Source organism: Homo sapiens, chromosome 22 (assembly GCF_000001405.40).
Source record: "Homo sapiens chromosome 22, GRCh38.p14 Primary Assembly".
Lineage (NCBI taxonomy): Eukaryota > Metazoa > Chordata > Mammalia > Primates > Hominidae > Homo > Homo sapiens.
The window spans coordinates 11,246,768-11,263,161 of NC_000022.11; the positions used below are offsets into that span (position 1 = coordinate 11,246,768).

The following is a 16,394-nucleotide window of genomic DNA, read 5'->3' on the forward strand; positions in this document are numbered from 1 at the left end:
TAGTTTCTCAGAAAGCGTCTGTCTAGTTTTTATGTGAAGATATTTCCTTTTTCACCATAGACCTCAAAGCACTCACAAATATCACTTTGCAGATTGTACAAGAACAGAGTTTCCAGACTGATCAAGGGAATGAAACGTTTAACTCTGTGAGATGAATGCAGACATCACAAAGCAGTTTCTCAGAAACATTCTTTATAGTTTTTATGTGAAGGTATTTCCTTTTTCACCATGGCCTCAAAGTGCTCACAGATATCCCTTTGCAGATTCTACAACAACAAAATTTCCAAACTGCTCATAATTAGTTTTTAGGACCAACATGAGCATTTAGAAACACTGCTTGTGGTGCAGCACACATGTGTTATCCACACTGAAATGAGGAATTCAACAGAAGTTCATGTAGAGCCCAAAATGTGAATATTTGGGGGACCTTGGAGATGATCTAGTTCACTTTATTTTGTAGAAAAGAAAACAGATTCAGGGAAATGGCATGCATTGCCTAAGGTGATTCTGCAGCTTTGGTGCAGAAACAAAACACAGCTAAGGTGATTCATCAGGTTTGGAGCAGAAACGCAATACAATCTCTGTTCTTTTGCTTCTCAGATCCAGAATTTTTTCACAATACTGAACTACTTACGTTTCTGATTCCTTATTTTTTCTTTTAAAATTTTGCCAGTATTGTCTTACAAAGATCCTATTCTTTACCCTAAATATTTAAATTGGTTACCACTATTGTCTCTTTATAAGTAAAATTACTAGTAGTTATTATAAATGATTATTCAATCACTTTTCATTTTTGGGGGTCCAGTACAAAGTTAGTAACAAAGAAACACTATTGGCCTTGGCAATCCAAGAGGAGCTCAAGTCCTCCAGGGCACGTCAGAAAAAGGCTAAATGACAGCTGTGCTGCGAGTGGACAGGATACAGCTCTCATACAGACTATTGAATATTTGATGTTCTTCAACAATTTCATTAATCTTCAGTTTTTTTCCTCTTTGAAGTGAAAGTCTGCTATGACTTTCAAGTTTCTTTTGAAATAATTATAGATTCACAGGAAGTTGCAAAAGGTACAGGGATGTCTTAGGTACTCTTCACTAATTCCAGTGGTGACATCTCGCATAGCCATAGAGCATTATCAAAACCTGGAAACTGACATAGGTACAATTCAGAAAGCTTACTCAGATCGCAACTGTTTTGCATGCATTCATTTTTGTACGTGTGTATGCGTGTGCGGGTGTTCTGTTCATTTTTATGTGGTGTAGATCTCTGTAACTACCACTTCGACAGTCAAGATGCAGAACTGTAGCCTCACCATCAGGCTCCATCTTGGGATCTTTGCTGACACTCTAACACATTTTCCTCCACCCCTTCCCCTTGGCAACCCCATAGTCTGTTCTCCATCTTTACAATTTTATTTCAATAATTTATATAAATGTAATTGTACAAAATCGTATCTTTAAAGGGAAAAAACAAGCCACAGATAGTTTTGTTAGCACTGTAAAATAGTCTTTAACATTCATCTGTTTTATGTTCTATTTGTCTCAGAAAATGTGCTTTGTTCTTTCCCATACTTTCTGATATCAGGATAGGAAATCAATACCAAACAAAACAATTCCATTCATTTTTTTCCACAGCTTTGTTTTCACTGTTGTTGCCTAACATTTATTGTTGCATTTACTCTTTCTCTCTGTTTTCCATCACATAAAAGTAACTTTGTGTTCTTTATCTCTTCTAAGAAAACTTGGTAATGAGCCTTTAATGTGACGACTGGACCACCCTTGTTTTGATTTTATGTTATGGATGTTCTTTTATGTGATCGTTCTCATGGAGAATCCTTGTGAAGCTGGGCTTTTCCAGTGGTTTGTCAAAATGGAAATAGATATTTAACAAACCAAACACAAAATGACCTTGTTCCAGGAATGCATCATTTCTGAGAAAACACTACCTCTTCCAACTAGATATTGTGAATATTACTCATATTATCTTTTACTCCCTTTTATTAAAACTGTATTTTTTTACACTTTTGTGTAACTCGGGTAATGAAATGTGAAACTAAGTGATTGCCTACCAATTACAATTGATGTTAATGATGCTACTGGGAGGCCACCCCTACAGTGGCTGCACCAAGTCTAGGGACATGCTAGCTTTGTTAAGTTACATGAGATTGCCTACGTACTAAATGGAGGTGGGGCATGGGTCCGAGGATGCGGCGGTGCTGCCCTGCCCCAACATGGAAGCTCCGGATGGGGCCCCAGGCACCGCGTGGCCCAGAGCCGGAGGTGGGCACGCGATAGTGGACGACACCACAGCGTCCAGCGGATCTCCAGCAGGGGCAAGCGAACCATGGGACCATGGCCACGAGCACTGCCAGACGGGCCGTGTGGCAGGCTTCCGGGCCCGGACACACCATGACGTGCCGGGCGGGCGGGGGGTGGGCAGGGGGTGGGCGGGCGAGGAGGATGGTGCCTCAGAGGAGTGTTGGGGACGAGGGGCACTGGAGCTGCGGTCAGCCAGTCACTGGGCCGCCTCCAGGGGTGGACGGTGAACCGCAGCGACTGGGACGTGCTCCCCCACCCTCTCCCCGGTGGACCCTTCCTATTTGCCTTCCTCCCAACCCCCAGCAAGCCTCCACCACCGACGACATGAGACAACGACGGCATGGGACCTTCCACCCCGCCAGGGCCAATGAACCCTGCACCATGAGCTGCATGAGGCATGAGGGAGCCCCCAAGGGAGGATCCCAGACCATGAAGGTGGCCACAGGAACTCAGCCACAGCCGGCTATCTTCCCTTTCTGTTTTCACAAGTGGCGGTGCTGCCCTCTCTCTCTTCCTCACAGCCGGGAGCCCCCCTTCCCCACGCCACCCAACGCGTGACCACACAGGGCCTGCGGGGGGAGGGGGAAGGGACGGGCACAGTGGGAGAGGAGGGCGGATGTCACCGGTCTGCACTTGGGGGGACAGAGGGCCCTGTGGGCCCTGCCACAGAACAGCTGGGCACCCCAAGGAGCCCAGAGGCAACCCTGGGGAATTTTGATCGGCAAGCGACGCTCAGACAGGCATAGCCCTGGGAGGAACCCAGGCCACAAGTGCATTCAAGTGTCGATGATCAATGTGTCCTGCAGTTCACATTAATTCTCCCAGCTAGCTGCATTCTTCATTGATGCAGGAGCTGAGTGATCCACCACTAAAAGTCATACAAGGTTGATTTGGCGAGGGCACTCCCAACAACGGGAGGCCCTCCTGGCACAGCACGTCCCCCAGAGGGGTTACCTCAGGCCGGCCAGTCAGACAGCAACGGGACCAGACTCCAGAGAGGGGTTGGAAGGTTTCACAACACAGGGAGGTGGTGCCAACCACGGGGGGGACAAAGGCTGACACCACCCCATGGGAGCCCAGGGGTTCCCGCCCCCACAGTGCGGGGTACAGGCCACATGCAAGGCATGTGTGACAGCACGATGGCCGCTGGGTAAAGCCCCCACCGGCATCAGCGGCGACACGCAAGTGTGGCGTGGCCCCCGGCTGGCCGGGGGGATGGAGTCAGCAGGGGAGGCGAGGGAGGGGCGGGCCCCTCCTGAACGGACTCCACTGAGGGCCCACTGCACCTGACCCACAGGCAGACTGGCGACCCCCCAAGGGGTCCTTAAACCTCCGCACCAGAATGCGCTAGGTACCTGGATGGTGGGGGCGGATGAGGGGGGTGGGACCGGCGTCCAGCCCCCTACCCTCGAGACCCCCTAGCGGGAAGGCTGGGGAGAGCAAGCAGGCTGGGCCGGGCCAGTGGCATGGTTTGACAGAGGCGACGATGGTGGCAGCGGCAGCGATGGGAACCTGGCCAGCCCCAACGGGAGCGGGCGGGATGGGGCCAAGACAGTGCGACAGGGCATGATGACGGCCCCAGTGGGGAGGGCACCGAGACCCCCACCCCACCATGACGCCGAGAACCACCCCCGCGCCCACCGACGCACACATGGGGGCCACAACAGGGGACCGCTCCCCACTGCTCACCAGGCCGGCGAGCCATCCAGCCCACCCCACGACAAGCACACAGTTTCATCCCCACACGCATGTCTCTCTCTACCCCCTCTCTCCCTTCTGAGTTCTCTGGCTCTCGGGGCAGATGGGGCCATGCAACGAACAAAGGGCATGACCCCACCCATGCATGCGCCACAGGGGAACACAGTCAGCCAAGGAGGAAGGACATGGCGGCATCTCCATGGCTTTGCTCTTCTCTGTTAATGATCCCTCCGCAGGTTCACCTACCGAAACTTTGTTACGACTTTTACTTCCTCTAGATAGTCAAGTTCGACTGTCTTCTCAGCGTTCCGACAGGGCAGTGGGCTGACCCGGAGGGGCTGATCCGAGGGCCTCACTAAACCATCCAATCAGGAGTAGCAACCTGCAGTGTGTACAAAGGACAGGGACTTCATGCAAGCTTATGACCAGCACTTACTGGGAATTCCTCATTCATGGGGAAAAATTGCAATCAATGATCACCATTGCCAATGAGGTTCAACAGGTTACCCACATCTGCCACATAGGGTAGGCACACGCTGAGCCAGTCAGTGCAGCGCACGTGCAGCCCTGGACATTTAAGGGCATCACAGACCTGTTATTGCTCAATCTCAGGTGGCTAAACTTGTCCCTCTAAGAAGTTGGGGGATGCCAACCACTCGGGGGTCGCATAACTAGTTGGCATGCCAGAGTCTCGTTCATTATTGGAATTAACCAGACAAATCACTCCAGCAACTAAGGCCATGCACCACCACCTGTGGAATTGAGAAAGAGCTATCAATCTGTCAATCCTGTCCGTGTCCAGGCCAGGTGAGTTTTCCCATGTTGAGTCAAATTAAGATGCAGGCTCCACTCCTGGTGGTGCCCTTCTGTCAATTCCTTTAAGTTTCAGCTTTGCAACCATACTCCCCTCGGAACCCAAAAACCCAAAGACTTTGGTTTCTTGGAAGCTGCCCAGCGGGTCATGGGAATAACGCTGCCACATCGCCAGTCGGCATCGTTTATGGTCGGAACTACAACGGTATCTGATCGTCTTCGAACCTCTGACTTTCGTTCTTGATTAATGAAAACATTCTTGGCAAATGCTTTCGCTCTGGTCCAAACTGTGCCAGTCCAAGAATTTCACCTCTAGCGGTGCAATATGAATGCCCCCGGCCGTCCCTCTTAATAATGGCCTCAGTTCCGAAAACCAACAAAATAGAACCGTGGTCCTATTCCATTATTCCAAGCTGCAGTATCCAGGCGGCTTGGGCCTGCTTTGAACACTCTAATTTTTTCAAAGTAAACGCTTCGGGCCGCAGGACACTCAGCTAAGAGCATCCAGGGGGCACCGAGAGGCAAGAAGCAGGGACAGGCTGTGGCTCGCTAGCCCACCCGTTCCCAAGATTCAACTACGAGCTTTTTAACTGCAACAACTTTAATATACGCTATTGGAGCTGGAATTACCATGGCTGCTGGCACCAGACTTTCCCTCCAATGGATCCTCATTAAAAGATTTAAAGTGGACTCATTCCAATTACAGGGCCTTGAAAGAGTCCTGTATTGTTATTTTTTGTCACTACCTCCCGTGTCAGGAGTGGGTAATTTGAGTGTCTGCTGCCTTCCTTGAATGTGGTAGCCGTTTCTAAGTCTCCTTCTCCAGAATTGAACCCTAATTCCCTGTCACCCGTGGTCACCATGGTAGGCACAGCGACTACCATAGAAAGTTGATAGGGCAGACGTTCGAATGGGTCATCGCTGCCACGGGGGGCATGCGATTGGCCTGAGGTTATCCAGAGGCACCAAAGCTGGCGGCACCCGACCCCCCGGCCGGGGCCGGAGAGGGGCTGACTGGGTTGGTTTTGATCTGATAAATGCATGCATCTTCCCCGTGAAGGGGGTCAGTGCCCTTCGGCATGTAATAGCTCTAGAATTACCACAGTTTTCCAAGTAGAAGAGGAGCCAGCGACCAAAAGAACCATAACTGATTTAATGAGCCATTCACAGTTTTACTGTACCGGCCCTGCATACTTAGACATGTATGGCTTAATCTTTGAGACAAGCATATGGTTCTGATAGAATCAACCAGGTAGGTAGAAAGCGGCCTCTGGGACTCGCGAGGATGAGCCCGGCGTCCCAGTTGCGAGATTGGGCGTGGCAGGGCGGGCGATGGGGCGTGGGGTAGGGAGGGAGGAGCTCCGGGTGGTGGGAGGGGGGTGGTGGGGCGGCGAACCGGACATCCCATCCACCCACAGGACACAACACCCCCCGACGGGCTCACCACTCCCGACCCTTCGTGCCCATGTGCGAGGAGGCCAACCGCCCGACCCGTGTGCGGCAGCCGTGAGGGACCAGCGGCCACTCATGCGCGGAGGGCGCTGGGCGGCCCCGACGTTTGGGCAGCGAACGAGAGGCGGACCGCGGTGCCTGGGGTCTCACAGCCAGTGGCCTCCGAGCATGAAGGCGGCCCCGAGCGGCACCTGGAGTGGCCGACTGGCCTTCCGCGGGCCTGCGGCTCCCCCACCACCGCCACTGTCGAGGCCAGCCCCCTGAACCCTCTTCCCTGCACGCACTGCTGGCCAACCCCAAACCTTCCGGGTGCCCACCAGGCCCACTCGGGGTGCCGCCGACCTGGTCCCGAAGGCGCACGCCCGGGGACATGGACAATGGGCCAACCAGTGGCCGGCGGCAGCGCCACACAAGGCGGAGCCGGGTTTGGTCCCAGACGGGGCCACCACAGCCTAAGCCGGTGAGCTGCTCGGGGAGAGAGGATACGCGGGCGGGGAGGGGGGCACAGGGACCATGAGGGCAAGGGCACCTGGAAGCCCGCAGAGGGGCGGCTCGGGGAGAAACCTCAGGCATGGCCGGGCCACCAGGAAAACACGGCCACGGGATCCCACCACCACAGACACGAGGGAGGTCCCGCAGTGACCCGCCTAGGATGCCGGATGGCCCTCGGCACCCACCAAGACCCGCCTCATGAGCCCCGGGTCCCGCCATCAGGACCCCGAGGCGACCTCAGCCACAAACCCAACGCCAGGGCCACGTTGCTCGTTTCTCATCCATCCTCCAACCCGGTCAAGCTCCAGGAGACCGACATGCCCCCCACTTGGGATGCTTCCCAGGGCCAGGTGGCCCAACCTCGTGCCACGCAAACGCGGTCGTCGGCACCGGTCGCTGCTCTGCAGGGGAGCGGGCAGAGAGCCGGCTCACAGCGGAATGGGTCACAAGCTGGACTGAACGCCAGGCACAGCCACCGCTCACGCAGCCTCCCAAATGCTAGGACGCCGGCCCGGCCCGGCCCGGCGGGATCCTCCCCCGACTCGGAAGGGGGAGGCGCGGGCCACACAGTAGGCGACGAGCTTCCCTGGGTCCCCACCGTGGAGGCTGGCGGAACCCTTGCTCTCCCCCCCTCACCCCATCAAGGGGGCAGTGGAGGAGGGTCCTCTGCAAGCCAGTCGCCACGGCAGCGCTACCATAACGCAGAGAGAGGCGGCAGGCCGGGGGATCCGGTACCCCAAAGGCACACCTCTCAGATCGCTAGAGAAGGCTTTCTCACTGAGGGTGAGTCACAGTTCCCACATGCCAGTCGCCCCTCGTCGGGCCCGCAGAGGCGCACAGGGACGCCTGGGGAAGGGAGGGGGCCTGCTGTACCAGGAAAAATCTGCGTGCGGCAACCTTGAGCCTTCGCGGTCTGGGCAGGGGGCCTGGCCGCTGCACGTGTGCGCAATCCCACAAGGGCCCCCCCGTCGACCAGCCTCCTTTCTCCCAGGCAAAGCACCTCCAAGTAAACCCACACACAACCTGTCGGAGGCAGAACGGTAGCCCCTCGGCTGCCGGACGGCGCACGCGTCATCTGACCCAGCCCACCGCAATAGCTCACACGGCCCGCGCGCACCCGCCAGAGAGGAGCACGGGCCCTGCGCTCGCCAGATCAGGCAGCACTCTTCCCCGCGTGGGAGGAGCGCGTCTCACTCAACCGCCTCAACCCCTACACCAACGAGCTCCCTCAGGACCCACTCGTGGACATCGCGGCGGTGACCGGAGGAGGGGGCGCTGAGGGTGGGAACCACACACCACCGCTCGACCTCGGGCACCTGAGGGATAAGCTGGGGGATGAAGGGGAGGAGCCGGGCTTGGTAGGCTCACGCCTGTCATCCCTGCACTTTGGGAGGCAAGGGAAGGTGGATCCCTCGATCCAAGCCTTGGCAACATGGTGAAACCTCTTCTCTAAAAAAATACGAAAACTAACTGGTTTCATAAACTGGACTCAAAGTTAATAAATAGATAAGTAGGCCGGGAGCTGTGGCTTACGCCTGTAATCCCAGCACTTTGAGAGGCCGAGGCAGGCGGATCACGACGGTCAGGAGATCGAGACCATCCTGGCTACCACAGTGAAACCCTGTCTCTACTCAAAATACCAAAAATTAGCCAGGCGCTGTGGCAGATGCCAGTAGTCCCAGCTACTTGGGAGGCTGAGACAGGAGAATGGCATGAACCCGGGAGGCAGAGCTTGCAGTGAGCCGACATCATGCCACTGCACTCCAGTCTGGGCAACAGAGTGAGACTCCATCTCAAAAAAGAAATAATAATAATAGATTAAAATTGAAAATTTATAAAAAACGTAGCTGGCAGGGCTCAAATGTTCACGCCTGTCATCCCAGCACTTTGGGAGGCCGAGGTGGGCAGATCACCTGAGGTGGCCAGTTTGAGACCCGCCTGACCCACATGGAGAAATGCCGTCTCTACTAACAATACAAAATCAGCCGGGTGTGGTGACACATGCCTGTAATCCCAGCTACTCAGGAGGCTGAGGCAGGAGAATCGCTTGAACACGGGAGGTGGAGGTTGCGGTGAGCCGAGATGGTGCCATTGCACTCCAGCATGGGCAACAACAGTGAAACTCCGTCTCAAAAAAAAAAAAAAAAAATTAAGCACTTTATTCTGTTATTTTTACTTCCTACCCAGAGAAGAATATAATACAACTGTTGTCTGTCTGCCTGCCTGCCTGCCTGCCTGTGACAGGGCCTCACTCTGTCTTTCTCCCAGACTGGAGTGCAGTGACACCATTATGGCTCACTCACTGCAGCCTCAACCTCCCCAGGGTTAGGCGATTCCTCAAGGGATCCTATGGCCTCGGCCTCCCAAAGTGTTGGGGTTACAGGCGTGAGACACCAGCACCCGACCTGAGTTAATACATCTGGTCTCACTATGTCTTAACCACACACCCATGAAGAACTCAAGTCAAGAGAGAGTTTGTAAGAGACTCTCAGCATTCTCTCCCGAAAGCAGTGAGGTGGATGGCAGCCATGTGTCCCGAGCTCCTGTGGTTTTAGGTGGCCGTGCGTAGAGGAGAGATTTCCAATGTTTCCAGAGATGCGCGAGCCACAGTCATTCGGGGCATCCGAGCGCGAGATGAGGTTTCTGACAGCGACTTAAGGGCCAGAAGGGCCAGAATCTGCCAAGGCAAGTGTCCCAGGGTGGGGCCGATGGAACCCAAGGTAGAGGGAGTCAGCAGTCCACACAGAGAGAGCTCCAGCCTTAGGACCCACTGTGCAGACCGAATCAGAATGAAGAGAGTCCTTCGTCCTATATGCCACATCCCTCCACTGAACTTAAGAGTGGATCTGTTTTCCAAACATGAGGTGACTCTCACTTTGCCATGGATCACAAGGGGTTGGGCTTTCCAGAGTCGGCAGGCTAAAGAAGTCATTCTGGCTCAGCCTCCCCCATCCCCTGGTAACTGGTGAGTTTATTTATTATTTTTATTTTTATTATTATTATACTTTAAGTTTTAGGGTACCTGTGCACAATGTGCAGGTTAGTTACATATGTATACATGTGCCATGCTGGTGTACTGCACCCACTAACTCATCATCTAGCATTAGGTATATCTCCTAATGCTATCCCTCCTACCTTCCCCCACCCCACAACAGTCCCCAGAGTGTGATGTGCCCCTTCCTGTGTCCATGTGTTCTCATTGTTCAATTCCCACCTATGAGTGAGAATATGCAATGTTTGGTTTTTTATTCTTGCGATAGTTTACTGAGAATGATGATTTCCAGTTTCATCCATGTCCCTACAAAGTACATGAACTCATCATTTTTTATGGCTGCATAGTATTCCATAGTGTATATGTGCCACAATTTCTTAATTGAGTCTATCATTGTTGGACATTTGGGTTGGTTCCAAGTCTTTGCTATTGTGAATAATGCCGCAATAAACATACGTGTGCATAAGTCTTTATAGCAGCATGATTTATAGTCCTTTGGGTATATACCCAGTAATGGGATGGCTGGGTCAAATCGTATTTCTAGTTCTAGATTCCTTTGCCATCCCCATCAAGCTACCAATGACTTTCTTCACAGAATTGGAAAAAACTACTTTAAAGTTCATATGGAACCAAAAAAGATCCTGCATCGCCAAGTCAATCCTAAGCCAAAAGAACAAAGCTGGAGGCATCACACTACCTGACTTCAAACTATACTACAAGGCTACAGTAACCAAAACAGCATGGTACTGGTACCAAAGCAGAGATATAGATCAATGGAACAGAACAGAGCCCTCAGAAATAATGCCGCATATCTACAACTATCTGATCTTTGACAAACCTGAGAAAAACAAGCAATGGGGAAAGGATTCCCTATTTAATAAATGGTGCTGGGAAAACTGGCTAGCCATATGTAGAAAGCTGAAACTGGATCCCTTCCTTACACCTTATACAAAAATCAATTCAAGATGGATTAAAGACCTAAATGTTAGACCTAAAACTATGAAAATACTAGAAGAAAACCTAGGCATTACCATTCAGGACATAGGCATGGGCAAGGACTTCATGTCTAAAACACCAAAAGCAATGGCAACGAAAGCCAAATTTGACAAATGGGATCTAATTAAACTAAAGAGCTTCTGCACAACAAAAGAAACTACCATCAGAGTGGACAGGCAACCTACAAAACTGGTGAGTTTAAATGAGCTAAGGCTGGCAAGGCCAGAGCTGCTACGGGGGGGAGGGGGGTGGGCGGGGTGGGGGGGTGCCTGAGGCACTGCAGAAAGTGGGTCTGAGCCTCGAGGATGACGGTGCTGCAGGAACCCGTCCAGGCTGCTATATGGCAAGCACTAAACCACTATGCTTACCGAGATGGGGTTTTCCTCGCAGAATGCCTTTATGCAGAAGTACACTCAGAAGAAGCCTTGTTTTTACAGGCGACCTGTTCTTACCGCCCAGAAAAGGCCTATAAAGCATATAGACTCTTGGAAGGACACAGTTGTCCTACACCGCAATGCAAATACCTGCTTGCAAAATGTTGTGTTGATCTTAGCAAGCTTGCAGAAGGGGAACAAATCTTATCTGGTGGAGTGTTTCATAAGCAGAAAAGCCATGATGATATTGTTACTGAGTTTGGTGATTGAGCTTGCTTTCCCCTTCCATTGTTGGGACATGTATATTGCAAGACAGATTGGCTTGCCAAAGGATCAGAATGTTACCAAAAGAGCCTTAGTTGAAATCCTTTCCTCTGGTATCCCTTCGAATCATTATGTGAAATAGGTGAAAAGCCAGATCCTGCCCCCAAACATTTAAATTCACAACTTCACAGAACTTTAGCAACTGTCTGCCCAACTCTTGCACAGCACAAATACCTAATCATAGTTTATGTCACAGACAGCCTGAGACTGTTCTCACGGAAACACCACAGGACACAACTGAATTAAACAGATTGAATTTAGAATCTTCCAATTCAAAGTACTCCTTGAATACAGATTCCCAAGTGTCTTCTATTGATTCAGCTGTAATTTCACCTGACACTCTCCCACTGGGAACAGGAACTTCCATATTTTCTAAACAGGTTCAAAATAAACCAAAAACTGGTCAAAGTTTATTAGGAGAACTAGCAGCTCTTAGTCCATTAACCCCAAGTTTTGGGATTTTGCCATTAGAAACCCCAAGTCCTGGAGATGGATCCTATTTACAAAACTACACTAATACACCTTCTGAAATTGATGTGCCATCCACCGGATCCCCTTCAAAAAAGTCTGTTGCCAGAATCGGCCAAACTGGAGCAAAGTCTGTCTTCTCACAGAGTGGAAATAGCCGAGAGGTAACTCCAATTCTTGCACAAACACAAAGTTCTCGTCCACAAATAAGTACATCACCTCAGGTATTGAGCCCCACTATGGCATCTCCCCCAAATGTGCTGCATTGAAGAAGTTCACGACTCTTTACCAGTGACAGTTCCACAACCAGGGAGAATAGGAAGAAATTAAAAATGAAGTTTCCACCTAAAATCCCAAACAGGAAAACAAAAAGTAAAACTAATAAAGGAGGAATAACTCAACCTAACATAAATGATAGCCTGGAAATTACAAAATTGGACTCTTTCATCATTTCACAAGAGAAAATATCCACAATCACACCTCAGATTCAGGCTTTTAATCATAAAAAGCAGCAGCAGAAGGCTTGATGAGCCTTCTTCGTGAAAGGGGAAAAGGTTATTTAGCTTTGTGTTCATACCACTGCAAAGAAGCTATAAATATTTTGAGCCATCTACCTTCTCACCACTACAATACTGGTTGGGTACTGTGCCAAATTGGAAGGGTCTATTTTGAACTTCCAGAGTACATGCAAGCTGAAAGAATATTCTCAGAGGTTTGAAGGATGGAGAATTATAGAGTCGAAGGCATGGAAATCTACTCTACAACATTTTGGCATCTTCAAAAAGATGGTGCTCTTTCAGTTCTGTCAAAAGACTTAACAGACATGGATAAAAATCCTCCAGAGCCCTGGTGTGCTGCAGGGAACTGTTTCAGTCTGCAATGGGAACACGATATTGCAATTAAATTCTTCCAGAGAGCTATCCAGGTGGATCCAAATTATGCTTATGCCTATACTCTATTAGGGCGAGAGTTTGTCTTAACTGAAGAATTGGACAAAGCATTAGCTTGTTTTTGAAATGCTATCAGAGTCAATCCTAGACATTGTAATGCACAGTAAGTGGTAATGAAGTGTAAAGACAAAGTCTTGTAGATGGTGCTGGTAGTCACTAATTTTTCTTGTTAGATAGCTCTTTTATTGTCATGAATTTGGTTACTAATATTTAGGGATGGTACATACTGGTCAATAACTTCAAACTAACATGTTTTCTTAGGAAATGTATGTCTTTAACAAAATCTTCAGTTAACTAATGATAATAGAATACCAGATCCTTATACTGAACAGTTTCAGTCTTCTACCAAACTTTTGCAGATACTGTAATTGTGTTTTATTTGTTTGTATGCTTGTTTAGTTTTGTTACTTGATTTGTTACTTTTTCTTCGAACAGAGAAATGGTGATTGGGACAAAAAGTGCTTGGGAAATTGGAAAGGAATAGCATAATTCACTTATTGGATAATAGAAAAAAACACTGAAAAAATTCACTAGTTGTTGCTTTTTGAAAGTGTTCCAGTTTATTGAGTTACTATTAAGAACTTAGTATACCCTTTTATTTAGCAGTATCTCTGTTTTCCTTTTTTTACTTCTGTATAAGTAGATACATAGGAAATTACTATCCAGGTCATATTGTTATCAACTGAATAACATACGAAAAAGTTTGGTCCTACATCTGCCTCAACACCATAATTACTGTTGACATTTATTGTATTTTTCTGGACTGACTTAAAAGTTTAAATATCAAGAGAAGGCCAGGCAAGGTGGCTCATGCCTGTCATCCTAGCACTTTGGGAGGTCAAGTCGGGCGGATCACGAGGTCAAGAGATCGAGACCATCCTGTCCAACATGGTGAAACCCCGTCTCTATTAAAAGTATAAAAATTAGCTGGGCATGGTGGCGGGCACATGTAGTCCCACCTACTCAGGAGGCTGAGGCAGGAGGATCGCTTGAACCCGGGAAGTGGAGGTTGCAGTGAGCCAAGATTAAGCCATTGCACTCCAGCCTGTGTGACAGAGCAAAACGCCGTCTCAAGAAAAAAATAAAATAAAATAAATAAATTAATAAATAAATATCAAGAGAAAGTATAATTCTGAAGTCATAACTCTGTGGAAGCTTTTTTGTCAAATACGATTATCTTTGGGGGTAATTTTTATAGCAGTCGAGTTTTAACACTTGATTTGCTTCTAAATCTGAAGCATTACATTACTAAAACATTTTTTGATTTGTGACTATATTGTTTAATGGATTATATCTCATTTTGCGGTAGTAGTTGCAGTGTCTGAAAGATTGCCAAAAAAATAGTGCTAGTTTTGCTGACAAATGTAACAATCAACTTACCAAGACTGCCTTCTCTTCCGATAGCTATGTTCTCCATAATACTTTAAGAACTCAGTTCTTCATAAGACTTGTGTTGTTTTTGCTTTTTTCCCAAGTCTGGTTGAACCGTGTGTTGTTCTTTTTTAAAAGTGTATTGTCTGTTCAGCTATTCTGCAGGAGTCGCATTCTTAAAAACCTTAACCATATCAAAAATTGTGTTTAAAGGAGGATTATTCAGATTGGCCAACTTTTACTAGGAGGAGTTTAAATGCTGACATATTTAGGTAACTCTAAATACTGAGCAACTTTATTCTAACTACAAAATAGATAGCCTTTCTTTTGTTTTCACTTTCACTATCATTAGCACCGTGTTTAATACCTTTTCTTCATCTATAACACAATTATAACCATATATAAAGCCACTCAAATAAAGCAGATATATTGAGCTTTAAAAAAAATAAGAAAGAAAAAAAAAGAAGTCATTATGTGGCACACAATGAGGTGTGACTCGAATCTGGAATCTCCAGTGAAAACCAATGAAACAGGGTCAAACCCCGTGTGTACTAAAAATTTAAAAATGAGCCTGGCTTGGTGGCACTGAGGCAGGAGAATCACTCGAACCCAGGAGGCAGAGGTTGCAGTGAGTTGAGATCACGCCACTGTACTCCAGCCGTGGGGGACAGAGCAAGACTCCATCTCAGAAACAAACAAACACACAAAGCCAATAAAGGTATTTCACTCAACGTGTCAGGCTCAGGTCTCTTGACAGGATACATCCAGCACCCAGGCAAACGTCGAGGGGTGGGGTGGAATCTATTTTGTGGCCTCAAGGAAGGGTTTGAGAGATAGTCCCGCAAACGTGACGGCCTAAGGAAGCCCCTCCGCCCAAGAAGCGATATTCATTTGTGTCCTGTAGCCACCCACGAGGGAGAATCGGGCTCTCTACAGACACCCCAACCCTCACCCCACCCCACCCACCCCGCCTCATGAAAAGAGCTCTTGCTCCGTCAGGCTCTATTCACGCCCTGTGGTTTTGTAACCTCCAGTGTGTATGCGTGGGTTGCGGGGTGGGGTGGGAGCGGCTCTAGACAGAGGAGGGGATAAAGCGGCAGTGTTCCGAGGGTTCCAGGGACGTGGGACGTGAGTGGGGTGGCCAGAGCCTAGTTAACTCATCGCCTGTCAGGACATCTCACCTCCTGGTCCCCTCTCTGACCTATGCTCCACATCTTCGCAGTTCAGTGGGGACCTTGTGGGTGGAAGTCGCAATCCCTTTCTACTTTAGCCTACGAAGGCCGGGCTCCCAAGAGTCTCCCTGGAGTCGGGGCCTTGGGCAGGCTCACAAGGATGCTGACGGTGACGGTTGGTGACGGTGATGTAAGTTGGAGGCCTCGGGCCAATGCAGAGGTATCCATTTGACCTCGGTGGGACAGGTCAGCTTTGCAGAGTCCCATGCGTCCTTCCAGAGACTCATCCAACGATAGCAAGCATGGTCCCGAGGATCCCAGCTCCCAGCAGAGGCACTTTTGTTCACACAGAATCCTGGGCAGGAAAGTTCTCAGCAGGTTTAGGCCTCCTAGACAAAAAGTCAAAGCCACTTCTGGGATTTTTTTTTCAAAGAGCCAGTGGTTCCACAAGGGGCCATGGGTAGTTGTGGAAATGGAGAGACGTGTTTGCAGATACATATTTGAGACAAAACGGACAGGGCTCGGTCACAGTTCATGTAGAACACGAGCAGATGCACATTAAGAAAACCCTCCCAGTATCCTAGGTGAACAGAGGTATGATTTTTTGAGACAGTCGAGGGAGACGCAACGCCAGATTTTATGGTTGGATCTTTATTAATATGTAGTATCTATGAGGTATCCAAGTCCAGAAATCAACTCGCCAGTTCTGTACAGCACTCTGTAGGGAGATCAAATCTGGGATGTCTAAAGTTAAGAATTCAGGTCGTGGTAATGGACTAGATTAGATGTACTTGAACATATTTTGCAAAGAAAGAGAGGGCGGGAGATAGCGAGAGCCAGAGAGCGGGCGAGAGAGAGAGAGAGAGAGAGAGAGAGAGAGAGAAAGACAGAGACAGAGAGAGACAGACAGAGAGACACAAAGATACACAAAGAGAGAAAGACAGAAAGAGAGAGACAGACAGATAAAGACACAGACA

At 49.2% G+C, this 16,394-nt stretch overlaps 4 pseudogenes; 2 read left to right on the forward strand and 2 right to left on the reverse strand.

Moving 5' to 3' along the window:
• LOC110467520 (RNA, 5.8S ribosomal pseudogene) lies at positions 3,042-3,192 on the reverse strand (annotated as a pseudogene).
• On the forward strand, positions 3,885-9,739 carry LOC102723688 (serine/arginine repetitive matrix protein 1-like; annotated as a pseudogene).
• Positions 4,233-6,081, reverse strand: LOC110467534 (RNA, 18S ribosomal pseudogene; annotated as a pseudogene).
• A 1,286-nt stretch (positions 9,740-11,025) lies between the features above and the next one.
• Positions 11,026-12,981, forward strand: CDC27P7 (cell division cycle 27 pseudogene 7; annotated as a pseudogene).
• Positions 12,982-16,394: the final 3,413 nt, after the last annotated feature.